The sequence below is a fragment of the Homo sapiens genome, chromosome 16 (genome assembly GCF_000001405.40).
Source record: "Homo sapiens chromosome 16, GRCh38.p14 Primary Assembly".
NCBI lineage: Eukaryota > Metazoa > Chordata > Mammalia > Primates > Hominidae > Homo > Homo sapiens.
Genome location: NC_000016.10, coordinates 54,411,886 through 54,431,901, shown reverse-complemented (window position 1 = coordinate 54,431,901; position 20,016 = coordinate 54,411,886). Strand labels below are relative to the sequence as shown.

Sequence of the window (20,016 nt, the reverse complement as noted above, 5' to 3'; positions counted from 1 at the left end):
GAATTTTCTCTCCAACTGTAATAGTAGAAACTAGAGATGGGGAGAAAAAAAAAGGAGGTTGGGGAAAGGACCTTATTGGGTAACTTTTTCCATCATTTGTTCAGTGAAATTTGTTGCTGAAGTCTTTGCAAATTTGCTTTCCCATCTGCTCTCAAGAAATCAAACAGAACCCTGAAAACTGATTGTTGAGAGCAATCCAAATTCTAGAAATTTCTAAAAATGTTGCAGAGAAAAAAATTTTAAGAAAAGCTTCCCTTTAATTACAGATGAGTCTCCCCTTCTATTTAGTTCAGCCCAGTCGTGAAATAGAATTGAACTTCCTTTCTGATTCATTCTTCAAAACCTCAATGTCGATTTTATCAGAAACAGATCTGACACTCTCATGGCGCTGCCTGGGTCAGCCTCAGTCCCGGATCGGCGTCTTCATTAAAGCTCTCTCTGTTTGGTTTGCTTAAGGAGAAATCATAACAGATCGGGTTCGATTTCTTCTTTGTTCCTGAAAAAAAAATACACCGACCTTTCCCTTGCCTTATTAGGGTAACTGGAGGCGACAAAAGTCACAAAACACAATATTTTCTTAAGAGGGCCCCAAGCCTTCGGCAGAAACTCCCAGCAATGAAACCTCCCTGTTTTCTGGATTGCACAGTACTGGCTACTGTGATGCGTGAGAGAGTTGCTGGCTACCCTAAAAATTTGCCCCATGCTGTTGGAAGACACTCAGGTGGCTACAGATGTCCTGAGAGCTGATGACAAACAATGTAAGTGTCCCTTTTCCCCACCCCACGGACCTTGGCATCAATGCCTCCTTTTCTCACTAACCTTAACTAAGCCACTTAAAAAGAAAGCAGAGGGGAGAATGGGAGAAATCTTTATAGATCGCCATCAAAACCTGACCACAAATGGTTCCAATTTGCTGCAGTGATTAAATCTATGTGAGTTTAAGGGTTTTCATTCGGGTCATCTGCTACTTTGGCATTTTGCTGCATGCCTTGCTAAGAAAACGAACTTCTGAGTCACCAGCGAGCATGAAGAAGGAAGAAGGTTACTAAACAAACTCCAAGCAGAGCTTAAGTGGATATAGAAAATAAAGACTCCGAATTCTAAATATGGGTCGCAGAGGAGTGTAGAGGGGATTAGAGCTGCCTTTGTGCCCGGTGGGGCAGCCCGGAGCTGGCTTGCCTTTTCAGAGCCGGCAGCCCGGGATCAAAGTAACAGCCACCAGTTTGTCAATATGCTAAGCTGGGTGTTTACACAAAAGTGTCAGCGTGCGCTTTCCACCACAAAGGGGCTCCTACATTCGAAGATTAATTACTTCCAAAACAGAGATTGTGGGTAAATACCGGCTTCTCCGGAGCCCAGCCTCCTCAGGGGTATTTGCTTGGCCCCAGGCTGAGATGTACTGCCAAAGACAAGAGAATTGGGGGACAGCACTGAGACGTGGACCAAGGCTCGTCTTGCTCCCAGGACTTTCTTCTCATCACATGCGGTTTCTTGGTGTTTTGCTTTCTCTGAAATACACAGGCTGGACTCTAGGTGATGGACAGCCCCATGTGCGACACCTCTCTTCTCTTCACCTCCCTCTGTCTTTCTCTCCTCCACTTCCATTGTGGGACAGATTTTCTGAGTTGTCTCCATCCTTGTCCTTTCTCCTTCTGCCACCAGCATGTCATGACATGGTCCCCCATGAATGTAGGGGAAATTGGTGGACTGCTTAGTCCATGGTGAGAGGATCCTGAGACTGAGACTTGAAGCCATTTAACTTCAGAACTATGTCCTCCTCTGTAGAATGGGGACAAGAAACATGCTGGCCCCATCTACCACAGAGCACTATTAGAAAATTTAAAGGACAGGAAAGGCATTATAATTGAAAGTGATAGGATAAGGTGGATGATGGCAGACTTCTATGCCAGTGTTCTGATGAGACTTTATCAGATGTCTTTATCAGACATTAAAAACTTGCCTAGATATATAGACTGCACACATACACACACTAATGCACACACACCACACACATACACCACCTCTTCATACCCAAAACCAAGCCTGGGGCCCAAGACCCAGTGTATGACCCTCAGAGTATGGTGCTCAGACCAAGTATATTTAAGTCACTGGGAACCTTGTTCTAAAGACAGGATGCCAAGCCCATCCCCATCTAAGCTTAGATGTTTGGATCTGGGACCTCTCACCCTGGAGGTGAGAGAATCTGCAATTCTCAAAGCTTCCCAGGTAGAAAGCACAAACTCATAGGCAGCTTTAGGCTCTATAAGTGGGTGGTTTCCTGTTCATTAGCTAAAAGGAAAAACACCACAAGAGTGCTGGCAGCAGATTCTGTGGCATGGCTGATAACAGCCGGTCCTCAAGGGCTGCCCAGGGTTCTAGGAGCTGCTGGCACTGGGGAGAACTTGCATAAAACATCTTTTTGATGAAAATATGGGGAGAGTGCAAAGGAAAGCTTTCCCCCAACCTCTCCACCTGGCATCCCCACAAGTTTTCTCTTCTGGTCAACAAATGTGGACATTTGAGTGTAGACCTTTGGCCTAAATCTTCCCTGGGAAGCCTAAAGTCTCACAAGAAAACTTCTCATTCTGGTGTCTCAAACAAAGCTTGCTTGCTGGTTCACCCAGTCACTCATTATTCAATAAATATTTACTGAAGAGCTGCTGTGTGCTCGGCACTGCTCCAGGCACAGAAGACACTCAGGTGACTGCAGATGTCCCTCAGAACTGTTCCCTGTGAAGAACAAAACTGATGAGACTGATGAGGTTCCTTCCTTCGAGATGCTCACACTGGGGCAGAGTGACGTGGAATAACCTGGTAGTGACATCTCTCTTCTCTCCATCTCTCTCTCTCTCTCCTATACTCCCATCATCGTGGGGCAAATTTTCTGGGTCACTGCCTTCCCACTCCTTCCTCCCTCTGTCACCAGGTAATAGGAGATAATAATGTCAAGTAAGAAGCAACCAAAAATGGTTCCACGTTGGACTGCGAGAGCCTGGGGACAGCATTCTCAGGAGTGGGAGTCAGAAGATGGAGTTCCAAGGAGTGGCAGCCAAGGAGCCAGGACAAGTGTTCCAAGCAGGAGGAATGGCCAGGGCAAAGGCTTGATGGTGGGAAAGCAGGCTGCAAGTGTGGCCGTGGGTGGCTTCAGAGAGCTGGGTGGAACGGTTCGTGCCTCGCTAAGTAGGCCTGGCCAGGTAGGAGTTTGACCTGCATTCCAAGTAAAAGGATAAGTTATTAGAGGGTTCCAACTGAGGAAAGATGGCATCAGACTGGCATTTCAGGACATCCCTCCAGCTGCTGGGCAGACAGTAGTGTCAGTTACACCTGCCCAAGCCACACTGGTCTTCTTGCATTTTCCCAAATCCCCCAGACATGTTCCTACTTGAAGCCTCTTCACTCACTCTCCTCCTCCAGGAAGGCTCTTGTCTCAGAAAGCCACATGACATGTCCTCATCTCCCTCAGGTCTCACTTCCAATGTCCCTTGTGACAGAGGCCATCCTTGGCAACACTCTAAAAAGCCGGGCACAGGGCTCCCTGCCCCTCTAGTCTACTTTATTCATCTGTAGCACTTAGATATTATACAGGATACACGGGTTTGTGTATTTTTTTCTCCTCCAGTCAAATGTAACACCACTAGTACAGAGTGCGTGCTCAACAGTTAGTCTATAGTCTCAATAGATACAGAGCTCTCTGTGTACATGGGTTCCACATTTGTGGATTCAACCAAACCGGTATCAAAAATACTCAAAAAAGCTGTATCTGTACTGAACATGTGTGGACTTTTTTCTTGTCATTACTCCCTAAAGAGTACAGTATAGAAACTATTTACATAGGATTTACATTGTATTATGTATTATAAGAGATGTGAAGGTGATTTAAAGTATAGAGAAGGCTGTGCATAGGTTATATGCAAATACTATGTCATTTTATATCAGTGACCTAAGCATCTGCTGATTTTGGTATCTGCAGAGGTCCTGGAATCAATCCTCCATAGATACCAAAGGACAACTGTATTTATGGAATGGATCGAGTGACAAAATGGACTTGGGCTGCTCTCTTAACCTCTCAGAACCCAAGTTTCTAGTGGTGTCAAACAGGTTTCATAGTATCCCCTCCGAAGGTGACTTACATCCATCCATTTGTTTACTCATGTATTAATTTATTCATCCACTCATTATTTAAGAAGTACTTAGTGAGCATCTTCCAGGTGCCAGGCACTGTACTGGAATTAAATGAGAGGACGCATCAAAGCAGCTAAGTAATAGTCAGTGCGTTAGAGTTAATAGACAATGGGTTAAATGAAACAATGTGGCACCTACTGTGTACTGCTAGCATCTCCTAGACAGGTGACTCAGGAGGACAGCCAGCAGCATCACTCACACGGCCACGGGGAACTTTCATCCCAGGGCCAGGCGATGATGTCATTGTCCCCCAACTGTGCTGCTCTCCCCACTAGCCATGTACCCCACATCCATTCTCTTCCCGGCTTTGCCCGACTCTGTGTCCTATGAAGCTGGTCCCGTGGATGGCACACTCAGACCTCCATGGGCTCTTCCCAGTTGGCCAATGGGATGCCCCGACAAAAAATCAGGAAGAGGACGGGACAAGCTGTTGCTCTCTTCTTGCTTCAGGCGGTGTTTTCAAGCAGTGGCCATATCCCTCCAAGGCTCCAGCTCCAGGTGGCCAGTGCTGCTCCATGGTCTCCACCCTCATAGAGCCCTGGTGTCCCACTTCCTCCTGTGCCCCTTCAGATCTAGAGGTAGTCACAACACCCTACTAGTTTCTGGGGTTCTTGTCATCCCCTGGTCATGCCCTTAATATCCCCCAAAGCAGGCCCTTCCTTAAAGACCTTTGGGCCATCTGAGTTGGAATGTATTTCCTGCAGCGACTCCAATCAGTGGACCAACCACATCCAATAACAGCTCAGAAAATGGTCATGTATATTAAAGAAATAATTTATATAGATCTATATGGATATACATCAACACATATGTGTGTCATTTTATATCTACTCCCTGCCTCTCCCTCCTAGCTAGCTCCTAGTATCTGGAAATACCACAGGGCTGAACTCGTGGCACCTCCTCACCCATGACACCCCCTTTCATCCCTGCCCCACTTCTCTCTCCACCAACACTGCAGCCCCCATGTGTCTGCAGTGTGGATGGCTGACGTTAGTTCATTAAGAGCACCTATGCACAGTGCCCTACAGAGCTCTCTGGAAGCGACGACAGCCACCAGTCTTTATTGCCTTATCTCATCCACCCACAGCAACAGCTGTACTCACACCTCAGGACTAAACTGCTCAGCTTCCTTTCAGCTTATAGATTGCAACTTGTCCTTAGGCCAAGGAAGGAGACAGGAGAAGGTGGCATAGAAAATAGACTTGTGAAATGAACTGGCACCCCGGGGGAGTGCTGGGGTGTGTTTGTTCTCTAGAATGTATTCATTCAACATTTGTCACAGGTCAGTAGTAGGCTGGGCTCAGCACCAGGCTCTCTGGGGACCCAGAGGTGAACTGACCAGAGACAGACTGAGGCTTTGAGAAGCTCTGTTGTGGAGAGAAAGAGAGATGTACAAATACAAACCAGTTTGCTGAGCCCACATTTTTTGGCAGGAGGAGGAATTGCTCGAAGGGGAACAGAAGGTTCCCTTCACTTCAGGATGGGCAAGAGCCCCAGATGAAATTCTGCAGAATCGGGCAGGCCCTGAGATGGTATCTGAGGACCATCACCATCCAGCCAGGAGATCTGAGTCACCCATCGGCTGCTAATTGCAGGGCATTGTTCCTAAGGGGGCCTAGGAGAGCACTGAGCGCTAGCACCGCAGAGAACGCTATTAGCATGGTTAATTACAGGATGATTGGTAAGATGACTAATGGAGATAGGACATGTTGTTCAACAAGAAAAAGGGTTTGTATGGCCTCACTACTGTCCGTGGAGTTGGTTCAAGGTTGTGCCACACCTCTCCCTCGCCTTATCTCCCATCTCAATCATGTCCACCATTGCAAAACAGAGGAGGTATTATCACTCTCATCTGCCCATGGCATCTGAGATAAGACTGAACAAATCAGTTTGCTGAGTACAGCTCAGTGCTCGGAAGCTCACTTCTGGGTACAGGGTGCCCAGTAGCAGGGCAGAGCCTGAAAGCCTCACCCGGGCAGTGATGGGGAGAGCCGATAAGAGGGTTGGTTCCTGTAATCACAGTATGTTCAGAAACTCCCTGGTGGTTATAGATGTGGAGAAAATTCTCACCCTCCCACGTTGGTTGGAGCAATGTCTCAGGTCATAGCTAGGGAGCAAAACTTTGAAAAAATTTTTACAATGTGAGAGAGGCATAGTGAAAGCTCACCTAAGACATGGGGGGCTGAAAGCTATGTCAAGAGAAGAGGGAGGTTCCAATGTTAGCAGAAGAAGCAAACACATCAGCCTAGACAGTGGCTCTCTTCTAGACCCTCCTGGCCTCTGTAATTTAATTATTGGTGCAGGTGAAATTTAAAATAGAATAAAGAAATACAGTCAGGTAGGTTTCGTAAAGCTGTTTGCTTTGTGAGCCAAGGGGCAGAAGGAGAGAAGGAAAAATGATATTGACTCAATAATTAGAAGTTGAGAGTAAATATGGTCAGTGTAAACAACTTGGCTTTTAAAGAGAGCATTTCACCATTCCCTGGGCACCCATGGAGGCTGGGAAGAGGAAAATAGAATGAGCATAAATTGCTGAAGACACCTTTCCTATCTCCATTCCATCTTTAGGGTTTCTTAACCTGGCACCAAGAGGAGGTCCTGACTGCTTTGCAAAAAACAACAACTTGTTTGCAAATTTATGTCCCTTGTACCTATGTGCACTTGTCTGACTTTTGTAAGAGTTCATGACCTTCCCACTAAGATTTAGAAAAGACTCATCTTTAAGAGATGCAAAAATCAGTGATATATAACCAGGGAAAAATAGTCATTTTGGTCAATGAGGGCTAGAACTGCATTGTTGTCAGTTGCCACTGAATTTCATGTAACACAGAGCCTGGCTCAGAGGAGGTACACAATGAATGTAGGGGTGGAAACAAACAAGCAAGCCAACAACAGGCACCACACTGGTGTAGCATTAGCCAACAGTTCTTGGGCAGCTTTTAGGGGCTGAGGACTCCATGAATTAACTCATCCCACTCTCCCTGCAACACTGCAGAATAGGCAATGTCATGCCCATTTTACAGATGAGGAAACCAGCCTGTATTGAGGCTAAATGACTTGCCCTGCCACCAGCTCATTAGAAGCAGCAGGATTTGACCCAGAGCCACCTGCACAGAAGGCTGTAATTATCCACAGCTGAGAGCAGAGGACAGGACTAAGTCATTCTTTAAAGGAGAGCTCACGAGTCCAGGCCTTTAAAATCTCAGGCCCAGATGCTCAGCCTGATGGACAGGCGGCAGGCCACAGGTGAGGGCTTGGAGGAAAAGCCCATTCCTTCTCCACGTGACCTGCTGCTTTCAAAAGAGGACAAGATAATTTCTCAAATCTCACTCTAGCATGGGCTGAAGCTAAGGAAATTGGAATGTGCCCCAGGGTTTCCCAAAGAGCTGCCCAGCTCTCCCATAAGATGACCCGAGGTGATCATGACCCAACAAACAATGCTGCAACTGCTCATGAAAACCACAAAACAGGCTGGTGCTGAAGGTCATGCCCTCCTGGCCATGGGGGGCGGCTCCAGAGCTGGACCTTGAACTTGCTCCTTGCCGACTTCACGGAGCACCTTTCAGGAGTGAGTAAGGCAAGGTGCTAGATGACAGTGAGGCATGAATCACTGGGATCTGCAGGAATCTGCATGGCTTTTCTCTCCTCCCACTCTCCTGTCCAACACATGCACACCAAATCCCCACAGTGGCTGGAGGTGGCAGCCAGGTATAAATTATATAGAGAGCTAATGGAGCTAAGTCACGTGGGTCAGGAGGATGGTGGCCTTGCTGGTCCCACCATTTGGGGGAAGGAAGTGGTCACGGCTCCAGAATTGGACTGGGCACATACATTATACCTCCTGGGCTCAGCAATGCCTAAGTGGGTGCCCAAAATGGGCAGTGTGCAGAAAGAACCAGACGGTACACAGATGAGCTTTAAAAAACTTTGATATATATATATATTATTGTGATTTATTAATATGACTTAGGAAAAAAAAAATTCAACCTAACCCATATCTGACTCATTCCTTGAGAGGCAGTCTGTTTCAGGGTCCGGTACCAGACACAGCATGGGTTTGAATCAGTGAGACTGAGCAGGTAACTTGTAACCTCTCTGTGCCTCAGTTTCCCTATATGTTAAATGGGAGGAAATAACACAAAATAGAACCACCTCAAGGGAGACGATATTGACCAGAGTAATATATTTGATTACCTACAGCAGTGCCTGGCATATCATAAGTGTTCTCTGAGTGATACGTGTGATTATTACAGATATTATTGCTTTTAAAAATGCTAAATTTATGTTGAAAAAGTTCAAATATATATGTATATGTATATTGTATGAGCATGTGTGTTCGTGTGCGTGTGTGTGTGTGTGTGTGTGTGTGTGTGTGTGTGTATAAAATGTAGGCTGGCGCAGTGGCTCATGCCTGTAATCCCATGATTGCTTGAACCCAGGAGTTCGAGACCAGCCTGGGCAACATAGCAAGACTCCATCTCTACAAGAAATGTAGCTGGGTGTGGCAGTGCATGCCTGCGGTCCCAGCTACTTAGGAGGCTGAGGTGGGAGAATTGCTTGAGCCCCGGATGCTGAGGTTGTGGTGAGCCGGGATCGTGTGGTGAGCCGGGATCGCACCACCGCACTCCAGCCTGGGCGGCAGAGCCGGACTCTGTCTCAAAAAAATAAAATAAAACAAAATAAAATGTGAAGGCCAGTGCAAAAGCTGGAGGATATGGGAGGCCTGGACAGGTAGTATAGAACTGACTGTAATCTGGGAAACACTGAACCATCACATAACTGGTTTAGTCAGTCTGTCTCCCTGCCTGCTATACCCACAATCCCAGCATGATTCTCCTTGAGCTGTATGTCCCCATGTGATACCTTGTGCCCAAGGGCCTTTACCAAAGACAGCCAGACTCTCCAGCTGGCCTCCCTGACACTGGAGGCTTGCAGGGTGGGGGAACGGGATGTCCATGATTCTCCAGCAAGCTCCCCATGTTATCTCAGCTCCATCTTGGCCCATCCTATCTCTCCTGCCTATCAGAAACCTAGAGGGAGCTGACTGATGAACATGATCTGACTCATCAGAAGTTGAATGGCAAGAGGTTCGTGGAAACATCACCTCTTCCCACTCTCTGCCCACACCTCTGGCCCTGAGAAAGGAGTTTGAAATGTCCAGATCCGGTGTGCCTAGCACAGCCTTGCAGACTCTGTGGGCCCACAAAGCTGCAGGCCAGCCCTGCCCCGATGGGCCTATTCTGTCTTCTGTCAATGCCAGGTCACAGCCTGCAACAGGTAGCCCCAGCAGCACTCCACATACCCTTTGTAGAAATACAGGGGACACTCTATGACTGCCTCCAGGGTCTCCTGCTGCAATGAACTTTGAAGGGATCCTGTTTTGCATGTCAGTACCAAATGTCCTTGGAGGGGAACCAAGATTAACTTGCCTTATCTTGAATTCTGCCTCTCAGTCAACTGGGTTATGGCAAAGTTCCACAGCCGGCAGAGAAATTCAGACCATCCCAGGGCACCTTAACCCCCAACACATCTTTCTGAGGCAAGGACAGCAAAATAGCCTCTTGGTACCCCAGCCCTGCAGCAGGCAGGGGTGCCCAGCACTCTTGGGTTCTGTGCAATCTGACAAACATGGCCCGGGCCTTCTTCACCCACTCAGACTGAGACCCCTGAATGCTAAACTCCCTTGAGAAAAGGAGAGATGGGAGAGTTTTAGGGAGCCTGGGGAGCATCCTGTATCCTTGTAAACAGTTGAAAAACTGACAAGAGCCAGGCACAGTGGCTCAAGCATGTAATCCCAGCACTTTGGGAGGCCAAGACGGGCGGATTACTTGAGGTCAGGAGTGCGAGACCAGCCTGGCCGACATGGCGAAAAACTGTCTTTACTAAAAACACCAAAAAAAAAAAAAAATAGCTGGGCATGGTGGAGGGCGCCTGTAATTCCAGCTACTCAGGAGGCTGAGACACAAGAATCATCTGAACCTGGGAGATGCAGGTTGCAGTGAGCCGAGATCGCACCACTGTACTCCAGCCTGGGCAACAGAGGGAGACTTCATCTCAAAACAAACAAACAAACAAACAAAAATGCTGACAAGCGCTAAGCCAGAGCAGAGCCCCTTGCTTAAGGTAGGTGAGATCTTAGCTAAAGTGGTCAACACTGTGGAACTGGCATAGGAATGAATGAAACAGATCAAGGGAACAAAAAAGAGGCTCCCAAACATGAGGCATTTACCTGTGGAACACTGAGTATGATACCGGTGGATATTAAAGGATTGTGACAAACACTGTCTCTTTAATAAACAATACAGGGGAAACTGGTTAATCATTTGTCAGGAGGGCTAAAATTAAATTATTACCTACACTATACACACACACACACACACACACACATACACACACAAATAAATTCCAGGTGGATTCAATATCTAATGGTTTTTTAAATTATATGACTGTTGTATTTAGTGAAAGCAGTCAGTTACTAAAGGACAAATACTAAATAAATTCCACTTACATGAGTTACCTAGAGTAGTCAAATTCATGAAGACAGAAAGTGGCATGATGTCTGCCAGGGCCTGGGGGAAATGGGGACAGGGAGTTATTGTTTAATGAATACAGAGTTTCAGTTTTATAAGAGGAAAAGTGTTCTGGATTCAATTGTTACACATTGTATATATGCATCAAAACATCATCACAATGTCAAAAAGATGTTTTTTGAAAAAGTGTTCCAGAGATGGACGGTGGTGATGGTTGCAGAACAATGTGAATGTCCTTAATGCCATTAAACTATACATTTTTTTTTTAAGACTGAGTCTCACTCTGTCGCCCAGGCTGGAGTACAGTGGCGTGATGATGGCTCACTGCAACCTCCGTCTACCGGGTTCAAGCAATTCTCTGCCTCAGCCTCCCAAGTAGCTGGGATTACAGGTGCCCACCACCACACCAGGCTAATTTTTGTATTTTTAGTAGAGACGGGGTTTCACCATCTTAAAAATGGTAAAGATGGCAAATTTCGCATTATATGTATTTTACAACAATTTAAAAAATAATTTCTCAAAGTCATATTTTTAAAAATTATATGATCATCAGAGAATAATATGAGATCCTACTTTGTCATAATCTTAGGGTGGGAAAGGGCTTTTTGTTGTCTTAAGCAAAACATAAAATACAGAATCCATCAAAGAAAAGGTTGACAGAGTTAAAGTCACAATTGCATTAAGATTGACAAAGATTGGCCGGGCGCGGTGGCTCACGCCTGTAATCCCAGCACTTTGGGAGGCCGAGGCGGGCGGATCACGAGGTCAGGAGATCGAGACCATCCCGGCTAAAACGGTGAAACCCCGTCTCTACTAAAAATACAAAAAATTAGCCGGGCGTAGTGGCGGGCGCCTGTAGTCCCAGCTACTTGGGAGGCTGAGGCAGGAGAATAGCGTGAACCCGGGAGGCGGAGCTTGCAGTGAGCCGAGATCCCGCCACTGCACTCCAGCCTGGGCGACAGAGCGAGACTCCGTCTCAAAAAAAAAAAAAAAAAGATTGACAAAGATTGCTAAGGAATGTTTTGATGACAGTTAAGAGAACAGGAGAATAAAGACAGACCCCCTGCTCAGTCGGGATGGTGGAACTCCAGTCCAGGGCTTCCCAAACCTTGGCCATTCCTTTACTGCCTTTATGAGTTTTGCCCCTTCATTCAATACCTACCTTATCATTTACCTATATTTCCTTTAAATTCTTATTTCAATTAACTTAATTGGGGTATGCTTTACATACAATAAAATGTACCCATGTTAAGTGCACAATTCCATGAGTTTTGACAAACCTATATACCCATGTAACCATCTCTGCCATTGAGAGAGGCCTTTTACATCATCCCCAAAAAGTGCTTCTTGGCTCTTTTATCTCACTCCTCTCTCCTCATCCCAGGGTCCAGCAAACTATTGTCGCTACATTTTGCCTATTCTAAGAAGATCATAAAAGTGGAATCATAGAGTGTGCAGTCTTTTTTTTCTAATTTCTCTCAGTTAACATATACTTTTTTTTTTTTTTTGAGACAGAATCTCGCTCTGTTGCTCAGTCTGGAGCTTAATGGCACAATCTTGGCTCACTGCAACCTCCGCCTCCCAGGTTCAAGTGATTCTCCTGCCTCAGCCTCCTGAGTAACTGGGATTACAGGCATGCACACCACACCCAGCTAATTTTTGTATTTTTAGTAGAGATAGGGTTTCGCCATGTTGGTCAGGCTGGTCTTGAACTCTTGACCTCATGATCCGCCCGCCTCAGCCTCCAAAAGTTATCATATACTTTTGAAATTCATCCATGTCATGGTGGGCCTTCATATTTTGTTCTTTTCTATTATTGGGTAGTTCTCCATCGTGTGGGTATGCCATAATTTCTTTATCTGTCCACCTGTTGATGGATATTTAAGGGGTTTCCAGTTTGGGGAATTTAAAACAATAAATTTATTATTTATAAATAATATTGCTGTGAATATCTGCATGTGTCTTTGTGTCGACATATGCTTTCACCTCTCTTGGGCAAACACCTAGGAGCAGAACAAATGTCAAGTGTAATCGTTGTTGTTATAATGATAGTGTAAACTGCTAGTACAGAAGGTGCTCCGTGGACAAAGGAGGTTTTGAGTCATTCTGTCAACAAATGGCCATTGTCAAATAGCTACTGTAGGCCTGACACTGTCTTAGGCTCTGCATCCCCAGAGGTAGAAAAGGAAAGACAGGCCTGCTCCTTCCCTTCATGAAGTTTGTACTCAGAGGGAGACAGAAAAACAGGCATGCAAACAATAGATCAGCTAATTTCACTTCCTAGTAAGAGCTAGAAGAATGATCAACAAGAATAATTTGATACAAAGAAATGTTGTATATGTGGTTATATCAGCAAGGGTCTCCCTGAAGATTCTGAAGCTGAGACCTAAACAATAATGAAGAATCAAAAGCGGCCTTGAAAAGACAGGGATCACAGGGAGAAGGGTGGAGTGAGTTGAGTTTTCCAAGCTGAAGGAACAGCATGTACAAAGGCCCTGAGTTCATAGGTTTGAGGAGCAGAATAGGCCAGAGGTGAGAGGTTAAGGGAAGGCCTGATCATGCAGGGCCTGGAAAGTTCTCTAAGTAGTTTGTATTTTATTCTGGTTGGAACAGAAATCTTTTTCTTAAAGCCAGGGAGGGATGTGATTGGATTTGAGTTTCAGAAAGATCACTCTGTCTGCTGTGCAGAAGACAAACCACATTTGGAGATGAACCCAATTTGGAGGCCGTTGCAGGAATCCAACGTAGATTTGATAGCAAGAGATGTTTGAGGCTTAGACTTGGCTGGAGACAGTACAGATGGTGAGACGAGGGCCTGTACAGGACATATTTTGAAGGTAGAGGTGACAGACATGCTGAAGGATTAGATACAGAGTGTGAAGGAATGAGGGAGTCAAGATGGGTCTTAGGTTTCTGGCCCCAGTAATTGGTGAACAAGATTCTGCAGCCAGAATCTGCATCCTCCATAGAACTTTTTATCCAGAGTTCCACACTCCGTCCCTCACACAGACTAGGAATTGGATGAACTGGCTGTCCTAGTCCATACCAGTCGGTCAGCCTGTGCTCCCCCTCCCCCCGTGCCCCATTAGATGAAAGGGAAAATGGCCTCATCAAACAGAGCAGATATGTGAATTAACAAATACCAGTGCCTCCGGTGCCCACAATAGCAAAAAAAAGAGATCCAAGAAAACACTGATATTTATTTATCTTCTGTTTTCTTTCAGATCTAGCAATGTGACAATAACACGTGTCACTGTCAGCCCAGGCCCTGCTGGCAACACCTTGAAAACTATGCAGAGGTTTAGAAAATAAACAGCAGTCTCTCTGATTCCAGTGATAAAATACCAGTGTAAGGAGAGCCTCCTGAGATCCATAATCTGGAATTGTCAGGGGATAAGAATTGTCTGTCTTTTTGATAAAAGATGTCAGCTACCCTTCTGGGTTTTAAACAGAGAGAAATACTTCTGATTATGAGACTGGCTGTGTATCATGAAGTCTGTTGAAAGAATTCATGTGTGCAATAAATGTGCTTGCCTTGCCCATCAATGTCCTTAAAATTTCCTTATCAGAAGGAAATTCAACTAAATCAGAGGCACGAAAAGTACACAACTCTAGAGTGGCTTGTTTTTGTCTGAGAGCTTGCTTCGTGAAGCTGTAGTTTCCTGATTACTATTCAGCTCAAAAAGCCTTCAAAGACCACTCCAGAATTTGGCAATTATTATTTTTTTAAGGCTTAGGACTAATTAGCCTCATGAAAGATTGTTTTGTTGCTTGTGGTCTGTGGTTGTTATATGGCTTGTTTTGCCTTGAAAAATGCTGCAATTGCTTTATTCTTACTCAATTGAAATTCAACAGGGGAAAAAATAGCCCAATTAGGAATCATCAGCAGACTGCCGCACACATCATAAGCCCCAAATAAATAAATATTTATTGAATGAGTGAATGAGTGACTGAATATTAAACAGCCTCACTGACTAGGGCACACTAAAGATCCAAAATAAGAATTTAAATAGCCATCAACACCTGTTGATCAAGGCAAGCTAGAGGACTTGGTCTTATTAATACTGGTCAAACTCTCAAATGACCTTCAGAATATTGTGAAAGGCCAGTTATTCAATCAACAAACATTCATGGAGTGTTCGCTGTCCTCCAGTCTGCTTGCTAGGTGCTGGGGGCGCAGCAGGGAGCAGAATACCACAGTCCCTGACCACCTGCAGCTCCTACTCTAGTGGGGGAAGGCAGACAAAATACAAGTACACAAACTAAAGAAAGAATTTAGGTTTAACTCAATACTGCAATCGAGGTTGACAGGAGTTAACCTGCTCTGGTTAGGGAAGTCTGTGAGGCCACTCTGAGGAGGTGTCATTTAGTCTGAGCCCTGGAGTATGAGACTGCATCAGCCAGCCAGGCTCCATGGCTCTTGCCTATAATCCTAGCACTTTGGGAGGCAGAGGTGGGAATCTCGCTTGAGGCCAGAAGTTCGAGGCCAGCCTGGGCAACATAGAGAGACCCTGTATCTACAAAAAATAGTAAAAATTAGCCAGGCATGGCGGCTCATGCCAGTAGTCCCAGCTACTCAAGAGGCTGAGGCAGGAGGATCACTTGAGTCCAGGAGTTAGAGGCTGCAGTGAGCTATAATTGTACCACTGCACTCCAGCCTGGACAACAGAGTGAGACCCTGTCTCTAAAAAAATAACAAAAAAGTAAATATAAATAAATAAATAATGTTTTTTAAAAAGAGAACACATCAGCCACGCGAGATTGTGGGTGTTTGTGGCATAGGAAGGAAATGATGCTCAGAATGGATTTGTTTCCTGAGGCTACTGGAAACTACCAGAAACTTTGTGGCTTAGAAATGACAGAAATTTCTTCTCTTACAATTTGGTAAACCAGAAGTCCAAAATTAGTATCCCCAGACTGAAATTATGGTGTCTGCAGGGCCACACTCCAGGGGAGGCTTTCCCTCTCTTGCTCCTCCAGCTCTGGTGGCTGCCAGCGTTCCTTGGCTTGTGACGGCATCGCTCCCGTTTCTGCCTCCATCTTCACCTCCTCATCTCTGTGTGTGTGTCTTCTTCTGAGCCCTCTCAGAAGTACCTTGAATGTCTATTACTTCTGCCAACAGCCTGATTGAGACAATCTAGCGTTTTTTCCCTCATGCGCCTTAAAATTCTTCCTGTTTCTATCCATTCTTCAATTCCAAAGCCACTGCCACAGTTTTCAGCCAGTGTCACGGGGGCATCTCACTTTCTTTAGCCAGCTGAAAATCTCATCAGTTATTAAGATGTTTGTCATACAGTCAGACTTGGCTATCTGGCAGGCTCAGGGGCCATGTGATTAGAGGCTATGGGATGTATTCCTTCTTTGCACCAATTTCTTTTTTATCTTAACCATTTTGTCTGGCAATACACCTGCAATGTACTCTGTTGTTCAGTATTGTATTTTCTTTTCTTTTTTTTTGTTTTTTGAGATGGAGTCTTGCTCTGCCCCCAGACTTTAGTGCAGTGGCATGATCTCAGCTCACTGCAGCCTCCACCTCCCGGGTTCAAGCCATTCTCCTGCTTCAGCCTCCCGAGTAGCTGAGACTACAGGTGCGCGCCACCACGCCAAGCTAATTTTTGTATTTTTACTAGAGACGGCATTTTACCATGTTGGCCAGGATGGTCTCGGTCTCCTGACCTCATGATTCACCCACCTCAGCCTCCCAAAGTGCTGGGATTACAGGCATGAGCCACCGCGCCCGGCCCAGTATTGTATTTTCTAAAACAAATAATGCTTACTATAATTTTATCTTTTCTGGCTAGCCCTGGGGTCATGAGGATAAACTTCTGTTATTGCAGGAGAGCAAAACCTGGTCCAAAGACAACGGAGTGTGATGCTGGTGACCACACACTAAACATTCCCCCATGTTAGCTTTTGTGCCTAAAAGTCGAGGTTTTCCCCACATTGCTTGGCTCATTCACTCCTTTTGCCCTTGGGTCTTCTCCTAGGCTCCGTGCCAGATTGTAACACCCAGAGTCTTAGCCTCTTGAGTTTCTGTGTTGGAAACATCCAGCCCTTACTTGAAATTCTGCCCTGAAAAAAGGAGGTTAGGCCGCTGTGATCTTTGCCAAACACAAATGGGTAGGTCACCGCCCCACCCCCACATGCTTAAAATCATGTAATGGTTTCCCATTGCTTTTGGGATAAAGTCCATCACTTTACATGGTGCTGGCATTGTCAACATGGCCCAGCCTAGTGTGGTCAAAGCGGACCTCTCCAGACCCACCCCTAACTCTGTCCTCCAGCCACCCCTCAAGTCTTCACGCCTCTTCAGTCCCTCATGTCTGCGATGCTCTCTTCTGCCACGGATCCTTTGCACTTGCGGTTCCCTTTGCTGGGAATGTTCTCTTCCTGTCGCTCCCTTGTCTGGTGAGCTCTTCTCATGCTTCAGGTCTCAGCCCCAGTGTCTCCTTCCTGGGGAAGCCTTTTCTGACTTTGCTGACCAGGGATTTTTGCCCTACAGGCTCCCAAAGCACTGGGTTGCTCTCCTCGCCAGTTCTCACGGAAGATGAACACATTTTGCCCTTGTTGACGTGCTGCTGTAACTGCCTCCTTGTCGCCTGGATCATTTGCTCCTGAGAGGCTGCATCTGTTCTATTCATTGCCGTGTCCCGGTGCATTGCAGAGTGCCTGCTCCACACGGGCTGAATGAGTGGATGAGTTAGTGAATGAACAACCTGCTAAAGTCCTAGATCACCAAGGAAAATGATGACCTCAGGCCAGGCGCGGTGGCTCACACACAGGACAGTTCCTGTTGGGGGGAACACAGGACTTCCATGGCCTCACTCACATCCACAGTTGTCAGGACGTGGACTCCAGTCTCTGGCTATGTGGGTCCCCATGCCATGGTGTGACCTTCAGAATTTATTTAACCTCCAGTGCTTTTGTTTCCTCATCTGAAAAATGGGCTTTTTGAAAAGAAGTTCCTATCTCCTAGGATCGATGATAAGATTAAATGAGTTGATACAGGCAAATACTTCAAACGGGGCCACATAAATAGCATGAGTGCTGCAGGTGTAGCCGTCGCTATTACTGGTGGTGTTGACATGCTGTAAATACCATCTCCCCTTAAGCATTGGAATGGTCAAGGCATAAGATGAATGGATTAATCCAGTTTTCTGGGTTGGGCCAGATGAAGGGGCAATCAATCCCTGTACATATCAATTTTCAAATAATGCACTATCATAAAATAACATGCAAGCTGGAGGGAATAGAATCAACCTCTTTGGTGAGTCAGAATGATGTTTCAGACCCAACAAGGCTCAGGGATCCCCTGGGAGTCCCTGATGCAGGCAGCACCACGTGAGGTTAACATTGCAGAACCTGGAACCGGGCTCACCTGGGTTCAAATCCTGGTGCTGCCTCTTTCTGGCTCCCCTGCACACTTCCATGATCCCCTCTCTGTTCTCATCTGGAAAATGGGAATAATATTAGGGCCATTGTGAGGACTTAATCAGATAATTGACTTAAAAGCCTTCAGCCTCTGTCTCAGCACAGAGTAAGTACTTGACAAATGATTGCTTCTATTTGTTAGGATTGGACAGAATTCAACACTGCAAGGCACAGGGGCCACCCTCCTAGATCCTCAATGGCTGACGATGTACAAGATGCATGCTGGATCCTGTAGGGTTTTTAACTAAAACCCTGATGTCCTCTTATACTTCTGCTACTTGTCTTGTTCTTAAAAACCAAGAACTAGCAAATACTGGGTGACAGGCGTCAGCTTGCTGCCTGGGTTCTGCCCTAACAGGAGTTGACAATATTGCAGCAAATCAACACTACACGCTTTGGACAAAACAGCAGCCCTGCCTTGCTACTGTAAAGGGCATTTGTCATGTTGTTTGCAGTAGGGGGATGGTTTCCCCTCTCCTTCTGGACTTGCACCTAATTCCGACCGGAGTGTGTACCAGCTGCCTGCCCCAGACTGGCCCAGCAGTCATCTATCTAGATGAGAAGCAATTTCATAAATTCAAACGGGGCACATTTCCTATGCAATTTATTTAGCTTAACAAGTTAATCAGAGTCCACGAGCCCAATTTGTCACTGTGCTATTTTCTTTTGCTGGCTGCTCTAATTGTATAAATATGCCCAGAGGTTTGACGAAACTTCTAACACATCAAACAATAAATGGCCCACTTACAGAGTGTACTGTGGCTATTTTGAAGCAAGGCTTTTCCCCTCTTGAAGCTGGCAGCTCCTACCCATCTAACAGCCTGGCACCATGCTGGCAGCTCCTGCCCATCTAATACCCTGGCACCATTTGGTTACTGGTCTTTTGCTTTTTTTTTTTTTTCTTTTTTGAGACAGGGTCTTGTTTTGTCACCCACACTGGAGTGCAGTAGTGCAATCCACAGCCTCAAACTCCTGGGCTCCAGAGATCCTCCTACCTCCACCTCCCAAGTAGCTGGGACTACAGTTGTGCATCATTATGCTTGGCTAATTTTATAAATTTTTTAATAGACAGGGTCTCACTATGTTGCCCAGGCTTCTCTCAAACTCCCGGGCTCAAGTGATCCTCCAACCCTGACCTCCCAAAGTGCTGGGATTACAGGCATGAGCCGTTTTGCCCAGCGTGGTCCTTTGGATTCACTCGCAGCACCCAGGACCTGAACGGCAGCAAACAGGGAATGGTGGGCAAGGTGGAAAGATGCCGCAAAATGCAGCTGTCTCTGACTCCTGGTCTAATTCCAGAAAACACCACATCGTATCCTCCACCAGGTCTTCTCCCTCTTTGGGATTAGGCAAAAGGGCAAATGGCCAGACTTGGGGGCTCAAGAGCTTGCTTTCTCTGAGACGTGGGCCTCTTCTGTCAAATTCGCATCTGAACTGCTTTCAGTGCCTGATTTATGAAGAGGCAGGCAGCGAGGCTGTTCGGCTGGTCCCTGGAAACCGATCATAAATCTGAGGCGTGTATCACAGGTGGTAGACTTCTCTGAGCTGATGGCCAAGAGAAGCGTAGGAAACCGAGACGAATGTGTCTGCATTGAGTCCTGGAAGTGTGCGTTTCCAGGATTTCCTTTTTATTCATTTTGAATTCCCTCCTCTTGGATTTAAACCTTCTGTCTCCTCTGTGTTCACGTGAACATTTCAACCTATCAATTTCATTTTAATAAAGGAGGTGTCCAGCGAGGAGATAAAACGTTTTTTAAGACAGAAAACTTCTGCCCCCCCACCCCACCCCCATTTTTCACACATTTTGTCCCCAGTCGCAGATGTTTCCTCTGCCTTATCGGTGTGCTGAAAAGAAATGCAATACGCTGGGCTT

General features: G+C 46.0%; 2 annotated features.

Moving 5' to 3' along the window:
* Positions 1,009 to 1,573: an enhancer, noted in NCBI's record as "NANOG hESC enhancer chr16:54464241-54464805 (GRCh37/hg19 assembly coordinates)". NCBI's record gives its function as "activates a minimal SCP1, AML or CMV promoter by ChIP-STARR-seq in naive H9 embryonic stem cells {active_cell/tissue: H9 hESC(naive)}" and the evidence as "EXISTENCE:reporter gene assay evidence [ECO:0000049][PMID:30033119]".
* Positions 5,520 to 6,028: an enhancer, noted in NCBI's record as "NANOG hESC enhancer chr16:54459786-54460294 (GRCh37/hg19 assembly coordinates)". NCBI's record gives its function as "activates a minimal SCP1, AML or CMV promoter by ChIP-STARR-seq in primed H9 embryonic stem cells {active_cell/tissue: H9 hESC(primed)}" and the evidence as "EXISTENCE:reporter gene assay evidence [ECO:0000049][PMID:30033119]".